The sequence below is a fragment of the Homo sapiens genome, chromosome 9 (assembly GCF_000001405.40).
Source record: "Homo sapiens chromosome 9, GRCh38.p14 Primary Assembly".
NCBI classification, from domain to species: Eukaryota; Metazoa; Chordata; class Mammalia; order Primates; family Hominidae; genus Homo; species Homo sapiens.
Genome location: NC_000009.12, coordinates 61,377,053 through 61,391,576, shown reverse-complemented (window position 1 = coordinate 61,391,576; position 14,524 = coordinate 61,377,053). Strand labels below are relative to the sequence as shown.

The 14,524-nt window shown below is 37.7% G+C and overlaps 1 protein-coding gene across 6 annotated transcripts in view; it reads right to left on the bottom strand.

Annotated features, from left to right (window-relative positions):
• Nucleotides 1–14,524, bottom strand: part of CNTNAP3C (contactin associated protein family member 3C) — a 131,026-nt gene that overhangs the window by 69,890 nt on the left and 46,612 nt on the right. For all 6 annotated transcript variants that reach the window (XM_011545672.4, XM_017015380.2, XM_011545674.3 and 3 more), the window contains exon 3: nt 11,509–11,702. In XM_011545672.4, the coding sequence (XP_011543974.1) occupies nt 11,509–11,702 (194 nt within the window). The remainder of the gene's footprint in view (nt 1–11,508; nt 11,703–14,524) is intronic.

Genomic DNA, 14,524 nt, shown 5'->3' with positions numbered 1-14,524 from the left:
GGATGCATAGTTTGCAAATATTTTCTCCCTTTCTGTACGTTGTCTGTTTACTTTGTTGATAGTTTCTTTTGCTGTGCAGAAGCTCTTTAGTCTAACTGGATCCCACTTGTCAATTTTTGTTTTTGTTGCAATTGCTTTTAGGACTTATAAATCCTTTCCCAAGGCCAATGTCCAGAATGGTGTTCCATAGGTTTTCTTCTAGGATTCTTACAGTTTGAGGTCTTACATTTAAATATTTGATCCACCTTGAGTTCAGTTTCATATATGGTAAAATGTAGGGTTCTAGCTTCATTCTTCTGCATATGGCTCACCAGTGATCTTAACACTATTTATTGAATAGATAGTCCTTTCCCCATTGCTTATGTTTGTTGACTTTGTCAAAGATTAGATGGCTGTAGGTATGCAGCTTTATTTCTGGGTTCTCTATTCTGTTCCATTGTTCTATGTGCCTGTTTTAATACCAGTACCAGACTGTTGAGGTTACTGTAACCTTTTAGTTTGAAGTTGGGTAATGTGATACCTCTGGCTTTGTTCTTTTTGCTTTGGATTGCTTTGGCTATTTTGAATTATTTTTCTATTTTCTTTAAGTTCACTTAGCTCTTTTGGTGGTATTTTCAGATGTCAACAGTGGTTCAAATTGATGATTCTGCAGACGAATGTCCTATTTCACCATCTTGCTGGCATCTGTACACTTGCCTTGTTTATTCTTGAATGAACATTCTTCAAAGTAAAATTTTGAATTACATCATTTTATTATGGGTTAAATTAGAGAGGATTAATATCTTTACATTACTGAGTCTTCATATCCATAAATGAGAATTTACGCAGATCTCTTTATATACCTCATAGTAATGTTTTAACCTTTTCTTTTCCCATGTAGCTTGTACATTTCTTACCCCTCTCCTGCCTGCCAGTGGTATTTTATGCCTTCTAAATCTATTATAAACAGTATTTGCTTCTTTTCATTTTAACTGATAACTTATACAAAGGGAGGTATTTCTGATTATTAAATTAATTTCCAAAAAAAAGTATTAAAAACTGTGAGCCGTTGAATCTTTTTTTTTTTTTTTTTTTTTTTTTTGAGACAGAGTTTCACTCTTGTTGCCCAGGCTAGAGAGCAGTGGCATGATCTCGGCTCACCACAACCTCTGCCTCCCGGGTTCAAGTGATTCTCCTGACTCAGCCTTCCGAGTAGCTGGGATTACAGGCGCCCGCCACCACGTCTGGCTAATTTTTTTGTATTTTTAGTAGAGATGGGGTTTCAGCATGTTGGCCAGGCTGGTCTCGAACTCCTGACATCAAGGTGATCAACCTCCCAAAGTGCTGGGATTACAGGCATGAGGCACCACGCCGGCCTAGGTGATTTTCTTATGTGCGTTTTCAAGGATCAAATAATAATAATTTTTACTTGGTTCCTATTTTTTATGCCTCTTGTTTAGTCTCTTCTCTAATTGAAATACTCTTTGTATCATAGGAAAATAAGGATAGACCCTAGTGAGAAGGGCCTAAAATTCTTTTTCAGGGTTACAGGAATGAAGGAATAAATAAATCTTTATTGCCACAAAATAAAGGAAACTCTAAACTCAGCCTCTCTGAGACCAAATTATAAAAAAAGTCATACATAGAATTTGAGAATATGATAGCACCATTAAGAGGGAAAGAGGAAAAGAGATTATGAGGTGTTGCATTGATAATATACTGTGACGTATAAGTATTAAAACATTTTTGTATCTCTGAATAGAAATTTTAGTCAGGCCTCTCTCCTTGAACTCCTAAGACGGAGTCAAACAAAATTTTCTATTTGCTTTCCCTACTAGTTATTTTTATTTTGCCTTCTAGAAACTCATCAATTTGAAGAAATATAGTCAATATGAGTCATTTTATAGGCATCCTTATATATGTATAAATTTAAATTTTACAGTGTTTGATACACATATTCATGTTCTATTACATGTATCTATATAGATACAGTCTTGTTTATGAAAATTGACATAGTATGCTATAAGTGAACAAAACTATATGAAAGAATAACAGACCATACTGCTTGATAGAAAAAGTTTTAAATAATAGAAAAGTGCTGCAACAGAGATAAGAAGAAAAAATATAACAACAAAGGTCTTATGGGAGCTTATTATCTGCCAAGCACAGAGTTAAGCTCATTAAGTGGATAATCTTATTTTTCCTCACACAATTATGCTCATTTTATAAATGAGAAAGCTAGAACTTTGAGAAGTTAAATCACCCAACTTTACATAGTTTATAACTGATTCTTGTTCTCAAAGGCAACTCTGCGTGACTGTGAAGCCCCAGCACAGGCTCCCATAAAAAGGGCATTTCCATTTACTGTAATATTTAAAAATCCACAAAAACTGATTTTTCAAAAGCCTACAGTTAAAAGAAAGTTGCTCAAATATTACCTAAAATAGAATAATCCGTTAAAAAAATTGATCACAATGAAAGAGGAAAAAAAAGCAGCTCACAGGAATTTTCTACAGAGGCATACAAAGATACACTCTCTAAACAAGAAAACCATTATCTAGTGAATGTTCATCAGAAACTAGAATATTCACTTTTGTTTAAGTAAAACTTTCACTAATTATATAGAGGGTTATACTTCCTATTGAGATAATTTATCACTATAGCCAAAGTTTCAGTGTAGAAAAACACCCCTGCTCATCAGTGTCTGGGATAGAAGTAAAACAGAGGATACTGCTTGAAACAAAACTGCTTAGACCAGCACACTTCTCTGATTTGTCAATGTCACTGATTTAAAAATGAAAGTTAATACCTTTTAAGATATCTGTACAATTCTAGGGCAGCTGTTTCAGAAGGTCAAATGACTCACAGCCAATGGGGAACTAGAGAGATATCTGAGGATTTGGCTGGTAAACCAGACTTTCACTGACAGGGTCCCCTTTGGGGCTGTGGTAGAGGTTCTCTTAAAAGACAGAGCAGCTTAAAGAAATCACTGAGGATTTTCACTATTACAACAACAAAATGATACTGAAGTGCTATATTGATTTTAAATTTGACAAAACGACAGAATCCCTGACAAAACAGAACCATTACTGTGGAATAAATCAGTTAGATTCTGGATCAGCCCCATTATTATTCATATCATCACAAGTGCTTTCTAAGATGTTGTCACCAGATTAGGGCACAAAGTGGGGAAGAGAGCTGGAAGGGCTTCTCCTTAAAGAGTATGGTTATTGTACTTCACTTCCATGCTTAATCATTTGATAACACTCACCCACAGTTGCTATTTTGGATACTCTATAAAATTCCCAGGCAGTTACCCATTTAATCTAACATAAATATGTGTTAAAATCTTTTCTGCTATTTCTCAAGGTCACGTGTTTGCCCATGGAACTTAGAGTACTGGCATCTCACTCAGTCACCGCAACAATGGCTTAAATCCTTCTTGACAGGTGGTACCTCTGTGTTCCTAGTGGCATCATACCACAGAAGGCTTCTCCCTCACACTAATGGGACTGAATCAATAACATCAGACTAAAAACATTAACCTTAGGAGTCTTATTATTCTGAAAAATATAATAAAACCTTCAGAATAAAGGTTTTATTATTAAAACTCAGACCCAATTAAAATTTTACAAATGAGAAAGTTAGAACTTTGAGAAGTTAGATTACCCAACTTTACATAGTTTATAACTGATTCTTGTTCTCAAAGGCAACTCTGTGTGACTGTGAAGCCCCAGCACAGGCTCCCATAAAAAGGGCGTTTCCATTTACTACAATATTTAAGAATCCACAAAAAATGGTTTTTTTCAAAACCCTACAGTTAGAAGCAAGTTGCTCAAATATTACCAAATATTACCAATATTACCAATAATCAGACCCAATTAAAATCAGAGAGAAAAAAAGTAACACAAGGCTGTGTAGCTCATGCACTACTAATATAGCCCATTGACTATTTAACTCATAGGATGCCTTTTAAAATAGTTTTTATTGTGGTAAAATATATATCCCATAAAATCTACCATTTTAACCATTTTAAGTGTACAGTTCAGTGGCATTAAATATATTCACATTGTTGTTCAACCACCACCTGCATCCAGCCCCTGAACTCATTTCATCCTACAGCTGAAACTCAAATCTTCTGAATAATTTGTGAAGTTGGCAACACACCATGCTGACCCTTAATTTGTGAAGAAGGCCCACAAGTATTAGAAAGATCCATTTGTAGAGGTGTCACTTGATGTGACATTCCTTGCTAGCACAGATCCATCTCAAACAAACTTCTAAAGCTTGGGCTACTCTGCTCAACTCTAAATCCACATGAAGAAATGTCTCCTATTCAATTGGCACCACATCCTAGCAGGATTTTGTGTTCTTTTTTCTCTACACTTTGCTTTTCAGATGGATTTTATATCTATACATCTTTATCTATATTATGTGTATACATATATACATATATTTTGCTTTGCAGGAGGATCATTTATGTGTGTGTATGTGTATATATATATATATATATATGAGAATGTTTCATAAGGACAAATACACCACTAAGTCTCTCATTCCTTTGCTATTGTAGAAATGGAGTTAGGAAACAAGGTGAAAAAGAGCCCTTTCACAGCCAGAGACTGTTTCTTTACCTTCTTGGAAACTGTAACCCTTACAGGAATTGTGCAAGAATTAAATGTGGGAGTGCTGGAAACCCAGAGCACACAGCCTTATGCACAAAGAGCTCTTCATAAATGGTAGATGGCATTAGCTTCAAGTTTAGAAACAATGTTTTCTTTTTGCTTCCTAGCCAGGAAAAGCCCTTTTGCTTCAAGCGACTAAAGAATGTTCTCTAACTTCCTGAGTGTTGTGTGTGTGTACTTGCCTCTGCTAATGTTTAGTTTGCCTTACAAGGACAATCTGCCTGACTTCGTGTTGGATAAAGGGAAGCTGTACATGAAGATGGAGAGATACAGAAGGAAACAAGCCATGATTTCAGTAACCCAGTGGCCATGACAGCCAGAGGCAGAATGAAGGCCGACTGAAACTAGATATCCGCTGACCACCTCTGGACCCACAGGTGCAGCTGTTTGGAATGACACCACACCTGGCAGCAGGGCTGACGTGTCCTGCAGACCTGCTCTTCCTCTGACTCACTGTGTCGCTGCCCACCACTGGCTCACGGCTTGGTAGCTACCCAGCCACACCCTCAGCCTCCCTTTTCCCTACTGTCGACCAACTGTGTGTCTGGCATGTAACACACACTCAGACTGAGAATGTTTCTGTCTCTGTGCTAACTGCAGTGTCTGCCATCCTTTCCTGCTCTCTCATAGCAGGTACCGAGTCAGTCCAGACAGCTGCTGCCTCTGGGCTCAGTGCTGATGGGCAGATCTCCAACCTCTGACCTTCCTTCTGCCTCCTCCATTAGTTCCACTCACATTTGCTCCAGTCAGGCCCGGAAAATAAAGATAACAATTAGGAACAAATACACACAGGCCATGGGAGATCTACTAATGCACTTTGTCCACTGCCCCAAAAACGTCCCATGACAGCTGGTGGACACTTTTTTAGATTTCCCAGTTAGAGCGGTTCTACATTTTGGATCTCAAAAATTCTCAACACTGATAAAGACCAGTGAAACAAGAATTCAGTTATAGCAAATTGTATGTTCTTTGTCAGAAAGTTTTAAAAAACAAAGTCCAATAATATTATTCAGAGAACATTTTCTTTCTTTGCATAAAATCTTCCTAGTGAATAGAGACAGACAGGGAAAAAACAAAATTCCATACATGGGAACAAGAAATAACGACTTCCATAAGGAAACACAAAACCAGGGAAGACACAGGCTGGAGGCGGGTGGGGTGGGGAGGGCAGTGGGAGCTGTGTGCGTGCGTGTCTGCGTGTGTGTGTTCTGTGCACATTAGGGGTTAGGTTATCTAGAAGAATTCTATCAGGAAGAGATAATTTACCCAAGAAACGAATTGAGGAAGCTATCTATGCTATAGGGGAAAATTTCAGAGATACTGAATAGCTAGTACAAAGATGGATCTTGCTTGACATTTTTAAAGAGCAGCTAGAAGAACAACATAGCACAAAATATTTGAAGCCACAGATAAGCAGAGAATACGGTCGAAGTTGCTTATTTCTTTTTATCTAAATAAGGTCAGTTCTTTATTGAAAATGACTACATTCATATGGTGCATAAAATATGTGGCAATTTACAGCAAGAATTAAAGAAAATAAAATTCTATAGATTTAAATTGGAAGCCAGTTGCAAAGGCAGAAGCAAGATGGGATGTGAAGCTGTGACAATGGTCCAGGTAAGAGATGGTGGGCAACTGGGCTGTCATGGTAATAACAGAGGTGAGGGAAAGTTGTCAGACTCCACATATACTCTGAAGCTGTGACTGACATGATCTGTCTAACGACTGAGTTGACAGGATATGCCTATGGATTGATCGTGGAGTGTGAAGGAATGGAAGTCATTGGTAACTCCACGCATATTGGCTCAAGCCAACAACTGGTAAATGCTGTGATATTTACTGAGAGGTGGAAGCCCAGGGGCAATAGGGTTTGGTGATGGGAAGGATATGGAGATAATAAACTTAGTTTTGGACGTGACTATTTGACATCCGAAAGGAAATGGAGTCTGGTGCTCAGAGGGGAACTTGAAACCTATGTCAGGGATGGATAATATCCTGAATATATCTAATTCCAACCAGAAGAAAATTTCACAATGAATTAAAAAGTTCTATATTTCCTTGCAGATTTAATTCTTTATTCTTTCAGAAATAAGTGAAAAATAGACATGAGGGAAAATGGCTTGTCAGTGATTGCTAATCTGGGACTATGGTTAATAGAATGTTATGGTATAATCTCTCAGCATGATTCCAGGACATGGTTAGGTGGATTTCTAAATATCTTTTCTCTCTTTCTGATTCAGAACATTTGTTCTTATTAGGCCATGTGGCTTTTTAAGGCCATTCCTATTACTACTACTATATATATGTATATATATATATATACACACACACATGATTATCCCAGAAAATTATCTTTTATCTTCCCTCTTCTGTTGTTTATTCTTTTGACCTTGTTTGAGTAATGGCACCTTTTAAAATGATGTAGCAGATGAGGAGATTATTCACCTCAAGTGAGTCTGTGTCCTGAAACACATTTTGTTAACTGAAAGTATAATACATAATGAAGCTTGTTCTGTTACTCAGAAAAGATTCATGTATTCCTGTTGTAAGTAACAGGGATTCTCTCTTTTCAACGGAGCTTTTACTACTCTGAAGATTCCATAAATCTGGCAGTTACATCTAGTTTTCTTGGGTATTTCTCAACACAAACTCAGTCTAGCCCTTGAAGCGTCAATGTGAAGCATGTAATTAGTAAGAATGTGGATTGATATATTAATCCATTCAGATAATCAAATGTCAGTGATTGATATGACAGCTGTACAATCTCTTATCTAAAGCCTTGGTATCAGATTTGCTTTAGATTCAGATTCATTTCATATATTAGAAAGGTCATACTGTGTATACACCAAATATGAGTGACTAGGTGGTAATCACATATGTTACTATTTTTGCAATAAAACATATGAATATTCACATTAAGCAGAGTAAGTAAAAAATGCAAATAGCCGCAAAGTCAGTACATTCAGATTTTGCTGCTAAATAAATTTGGGTCTGCTTAGGGTTCACCATTTTAAGAATTTTGCTTTTAGAATTAAAAATTGCAGATAAGCAACTGTGGATCTTTAATAATAGAAAACATTAGCATAGGTAATGGGTAAAACCAGACCAAAAAAAACAAAGCCATAAAAAGACAGAGGGAGAGCATACAAGAAATATATAAGACTGGAGAATGCATTTTTAACGTGTCCTTAACATAAAAGTAGAGGCAGCAGGATCCCTAGGAGAGAGCTGGAAATGCATTCTGTTCTCCTGGTACAGGAAGGTTAATACGATGACCCTGAGGGCAGGGGATGTAGCTGTGGTCAGGAAAAGATAATAATAATAAAGATAATAATGTGCTGGGAAAGATAATAAGCCTATAAAAACATAATTTTCATTAATCAAGAGTGTTAATATTTTAGGTATCAAAAATAAATCTTAAGTTATTTTAATATCATCCATTCATTTCTAAAATTAATGCCTTGGTAAAGGGCAGAAACTCTAATAAGAGATGTAATTTATTGTTAAGGCAGCAATGATAAGACTGGAGGACAGTCAATATCAGCCCATCTTTTTAAGAAAATGATAAATAGGAGACAGTCAGTGAAATTTATTTCTACAGAAGTAGCTTTGATAGGAAAAATACTAGACACAAGGGACATGCCTAGTGAAGAATATGATAACTATGACTCAGCTCACATTTCCCAAGAGTATATTACTAACCTCTACCATAATTATTTGCTTATTTACTAAAAGAATGGATTAATGAATAAACAAATGGAGAATATGTCCCTGAGATGTTGATGTAGCAGTTCAAGAAACACGAATCATGATGGTTACCAGTGGCAGGGAAGGGGCGTGGGGGGCTGGGGAGGAGATGGGGATAGTTATTGGGCACAAAAAAATAGTAAGAATGAATAAGACCTAGGATTTGATAGCACAACAAGGTGACTATAGTCAATAATAATTTAATTGTACATTTTAAAGTAACTAAAAGTGTATAATTGGATTGTCTGTAACACAAAGGATAAATACTTGGGATGGATATCCCATTTTATATGATGTGATTATTATGCACTGCATGCCTGTATCAAAGTATCTCATGAATCCCATAAATGTGTACACCTGCTATGCACTCACAAAAAGTAAAAGTTTTTTTAAAAAAAAGAAACTCAAATATCTACATAGGTATTTTATAATCCAAACTTGACAGCCTCTCTCTTTGCAATTTTACAACTTTCAGCAAATTCCCCATATTCTCTCCATCTCAGTCTGAACAGCCATTTCACATCTTACAGCTCACTGTTTGTTGTGTATCTCATCCATTATCCATGGTTTTGTTTGCATTACTTTTGCTTTCTGAAATATCCTCCTGAATTGTTTTCCAACAACCCACGAGGTAACGCTTTCTCCAAGGCCTGCCATTCTCAAGTCTCTTCGGGTCTGTGTCTTATAACTGAACACTCACAAGAACCATCTCTGGTTTGTTTTGTGGGTTCTCTCTTCAGTAGCATTAACATTTTTTTCACCATGCAAATTCTGTATAGTTGGTCATAGAGTAGGAAATGAAGCTATTAAATGGTTACAATTTGCCAGTCACAGTGATGGAGGATGAAGGAGATGCAAAGATAAAGCCCTATCCCCAAAAACCTTTTAGCTCAAAACGATGGAAGGCTGAGTCCTGAACCCTCATAGCACTACATTTCATTGTTTTAGTCCAAAACAAGTCCTAGAGATCTGCAGAGCCAGGAAGGACCATTTTCATTGTGGTTGTTCAAAAAAGGCATCCTGGGAGAGGATGAATTTCCCTCATTCATTCAGGAAACATTTCCTCATGTCCTAGTCCTGTTAGGCACAGTTAGGCTTTAGAGGCTGAGTTAGTTTTCCAGAACTGCTGTAACAAAGTGCCACAAACTAGGTAGCTAAAGTGATGGAGGCCATACGTCCAAGATCAGGGTGTCTGCCGGCCATGCTGCCTCCGGAGGCTCTAGGGAGGGATCTGTTCCATGCCCATCTCCTAGCTGCTGGTGCCTCCGGTGTTCTGTGGCTTGTCCATGCATTATCCCAATCCTCCCTCCTCACAGGGCTGCTTCCCTATGTGTCCTTGCACTGTGTTCCCTGTGTGTATAACTGTCTCTGGGTCCAAAGGTCCTTCTTGATGAGGACACCAGTCATATTAGATTAGGGTCAACCCTCCTGACTACACTTTAACTTGATTACCTCTGTAAAAACCTTATATCCAATTAAGGTCACATTCTGAGGTACTGGGAGTTAGGATTCCAACATATGTTTTTGGGAAACCACAAGTCAACCCAGAATAGAGATGCAGGGATGAAAGGCAGGCACAGTGACTTTGAAAGGAAGCTCACACTGTGAGCGGGCACCAGGAAAGTAAATCACTTGTTCCAGTGAAGCTCAACACGTTCCTACACGAGGTAAGATCATGAGAGTTGACATCTGTCATTTTAAGTGTTCTGGATTAGTAAGAACCTTAACCTTTACGCTCTTTCCCCGCAGGCTAGTAACCTTTCAGAGTAAGCAAAATTGGCAAATGGCATTGCCTTGGCTATGGTTTCCCTCTGAACTGCTTAACTTGATAACAAAAATGCTGACGGTACCTCTGTCATTGATGTATTTTTTTTTAGGAGGAAGAAAGAGCCAAATTACAAATACGATGCAGACTCTATATGAGTCTTCTCTTACAGCATCTCTTTTATAGGGAAACTGTCCACAACATTTTAAACATTATTAATCAATGCAGAGCAAGATTTTAAACAGATACAGGTTACTTTCAAACACTATGTAATAAATACTTATTATTATTATTATTATTATTATTATTATTATTATTGAGACAGAGTTTCTCTCTTTTTTGCCCAGGCTGGAGTGCAATGGTGCGATCTCCGCTCACTGCAATCTCTGCCTCCCGGGTTCAAGTGATTCTCCTACCTCAGCCTCCCAAGTAGCTGCAAAAGTCAAACAAAAAGTGATTACCCTGGCAAAGAGGCACTGACATATAATCAGAAACAGAAATAATGTCACTGTTATGAGGATATTTACAGATTCAGAGAATGTCACAGAGATCTGTAGTCTATGAAAAACTAAATCTGGCCAGGCGCGGTGGCTCACTCCTGTAATCCCAGCACTTTGGGAGGCCAAGATGGGTGGATGACCTGAGGTGAGGAGTTCGAGACCAGCCTGGCCAAAATGGCAAAACCCTGTCTCTACTAAAAATACAAAAAAAAAAAAAAAAAAAAAAAATTAGCCAAGTGTGGTGGCACACGCCTGTAGTCCCAGCTACTAAGGAGGCTGACGCAGAAGAATTGCTTGAACCTGGGAGGCAGAGGCTGCAGTGAGCCAAGATTGTGCCACTGCACTCTAGCCTGGGTGATAACAGCGAAACTCTGTCTCTTAAAAAAAAAAAAAAAAAAAAAAAACAAGAAAAACTAAATCTGGCTGCTTAATAAAGGACACACAATTCTTCAAGTTCAAAGTCTGTGTTCCTGTGCTTGTCATACACACAGAAACTGCTCATTTATTACATTTTGAAATTTCAGTGTCTTTCAAAAACATCAGATCAAATCAGAGAAAATAAATGAATTCAATCTACCACTCTAAAATAATGCAGAGGCAATGTTAAATTACTTTATTAAGCAAACCCAGAAAAAATAAATTATATATGATTTGTATTATTTTTTAACTTCCACACTATTTAATGGTATAATATAAGATTGTCTTTCAATGCTTTCAATGAAATAGGTATCTTACTTTCACTTAGAACATTTTTTTCTACGTAATTCTTAAAATTCTGTTTTTCTAATAGGTTTGCAGCAATAGGTAGCAATTATTATTATTAGAAACATACCCAGATGCTTTCTTCTCGGCGATACTGCTTCCAGTTTCTCCCACCATCACTGAACATCAGGAGGTAGCTGGTCACCCAGTCAGAGCTCCCATATCCTCCTTGGGTGGCGACAGCAGTGACCTCCATTCTCTCTCCAAGGTCAATTTGCAGCCATTGGTATTTATTTGACACAAGTGGAGTCCAGCCACCAGCTCCTTTATTGAAACAGAAAAAGTATAAAAATGGTAGAGGAGGAAGTTATTTAAACATAGCTGTTACTAGATTAGAAAACTATAAAATTATGAATATATATTAAGAAAATCATCGATTTACAATAGAAAAAATAGAAGAATTACATGTGACTGGATGAACCCTAAATTGTGTTCACATTTAGCTAGATGACCCCTGACATTCTAGAAGGCAGGTGTCCTACTGACTGCAGAAAATGTTTGTTTAATGCAGGTGGCCACTAGAGCATTCCTGTCAACTTTTGGAACTAGTGTTATTTCATAGCCCTTGTGCAAGATTTGCCCTTTGCCAACCTAAGAGACTAAATTCCAGTAGTAGGAAGTACAGCATTAAGCACTGATAAAACAAAGACGGTTAATATATTGACCTTGCACTCAAAGTGCTTACAGTCTCATAGGAGAAATGGATGTAAAAGAAGAGTTAAAACATAGAGTGCTTTGTGAGGCAATCCCACTTACATGTGGAATTTTAAAAAGCTGAATTCACAGAAGTACAGAGGAGAGTGATGGTTACGAGGAACTGGGGTGTGGAGGAGATATTGGTAAAAAAATACAAAAAGGTATGGAGTAGCAAATGGTCAAGGTGAGTCCTAAGCAGGTTCTGGTGCACTCTGCTCTCTCTGGCAGTACTGCAGGGAAACTGGGGCAAGTCTCACACAGTGCTCATCCACCTTGGACAAGGAAAAGGAGACTGTCGGGTATTGAAGAAGATGCGTGCAGAGCAGAAAATTTGCTTTTTGCTCTGACCAATGCCAAATCTGAAACAAAAACATAGGCATGTCCGCTGATGTTTTATTGATGTTTGTTATTTTTCTAGTCTAATAGAATTAGGGGACACTCGAAAACCACAGCTTCTTTAATAATCAATGTCTAGAAAAAGAGAGTGCTCTATAAACAATTCCCAAGCCGAGGAGTCAGAACACTTTTATTATTCCCTGGTGCTGCCACTTACCTGAAGGCTCTGATAGAAAGTCTGAAGTTCTAGACAGTTCATTATTATTCATTGACTTATACTGTGTATTTTATTATTAGGGGTTTATCATTATGTCCTCATTTGTAAAGTCTTTAGTACTTCACTACATGTCCAAAAAAGTTTGATATTATTAGAATATAGCTAGGTGTAAAAACGAATAAGTGAGGACATTATACTTTAATATAAGTTATTATGGGGAAGTGTTGAGAAATATAAATATTTATATTTAAATAATAACAATTCATACTTAAATAATAAATATAAATATTAGGCACCTATTTGAATTGATGACCACACTTAACTACTGTTTCCTTATGATTCCCAAGTTTACAGATTCTTAGAAGTCAGATTCTAAGATATTTTTGTAGTGAATCTTTGTTCAAAAATATTTTTTCCTCTGAATGTACGATAAGCACCTCTAAAGTTTATATTATATATATAGTATGTACACAGACATATATATAATTTTTGTTTGTTTTGCTTTTTATTGTTCCATGTTTTGAATTGAAGAGTCAGGAATTTGATCTAGTAGACAAGATGGAAAATTATTGGTAACCAACACTGTGCATCTGATTGACACTAAAATACTCCATTTATTTTCTTAATCCAGACAGCTAGGAGGTGGACACAGCTCTTGTTCAAAGTTAAATGTTCTGCTACAGACCAGGGGCATCCTCCACTCATGCAACATGGTTTCCTAGATCGGGCAATATTTATTCTTGGATGATTTACAGCAATATTTATGTGAGCCCCTGCCAGAGACAGTGCACAGATTTCTTTAGCCCTCAGTAGGAACTACTTCCACAGTTTCTTCTCTCTGCTCATTCCTCCTTCCAACTTAACTTTTCAGGATGTAACAGAATTCCACCTACCCACTTCCATAATCACTCAATTTAACAATGAACACTTATCGAGCATTTGAGAACTCTAGGTCAGGCAAAGAGTTCCCTTTAAATAAATTTTGCATTTAATTCCTAACATACCTTTAAAAGACAAGGCCTCATTACTACCCTCCATATATGGTGGGCAGCTCACCTATGTTTACGCATCTAGCAAGGGGCCCATGAGCTTTGGATCCAGAACCTGTGCAATTAAATATTTCTATTATATTATTTTGATGATAATCGTGGGATGTGGTGTTTCTCAAATAAATGTAACAAAGATGTAAAGACGTTTGGGAGTGAGCAGGTCTGGCTACCTAAGGCAGCAGCCCCCATACAGCAGGGCAACCTCTCCTACTCCTGGTCAGGCAAGGTCTGGGTTTCGGAAAGCTGAGGGTGCAGTGCCAATGGGTTTTTCTCTACTGGCCCTTCCTGTTGACTCCACCAGATCTACTCTTCTCTCCTAAGCCTATGTAAACTTTAATTGGTGGGAGATCCTTTTGGGGTTGGTCTAACTAGCAACCAATAGTCCTAGGTACAACACTAATGAAACTGTGTATCCTTTTCTGTTTTTCTTATTACTATTTTATGGGGGTTTTTTTTGTTGTTTTTTTTGTTTGTTTGTTTGTTTTGAGATGGAGTCTCACTCTGTCACCAGCCTGGAGTGCAGTGGCGAGATCTCTGCTCACTGCAACCTCCAACTCCCTGGTTCAAGCAATTCTCCTGCCTCAGCCACCCAAGTAGCCGGGATTACAGGTACGTGCCACCACGCCCAGCTAATTTTTGTATTTTTAGTAGAGAGGGGTTTCACCATGTTGGCCAGGATGGTCTCGGTCTCCTGACCTAGTGATTTGCCCATCTCGGCCTCCCAAAGTGCTGGGATTACAGGCACGAGCCACTGGGCCCAGCCTATTTTATGGCTGTTTTAAAAGAGT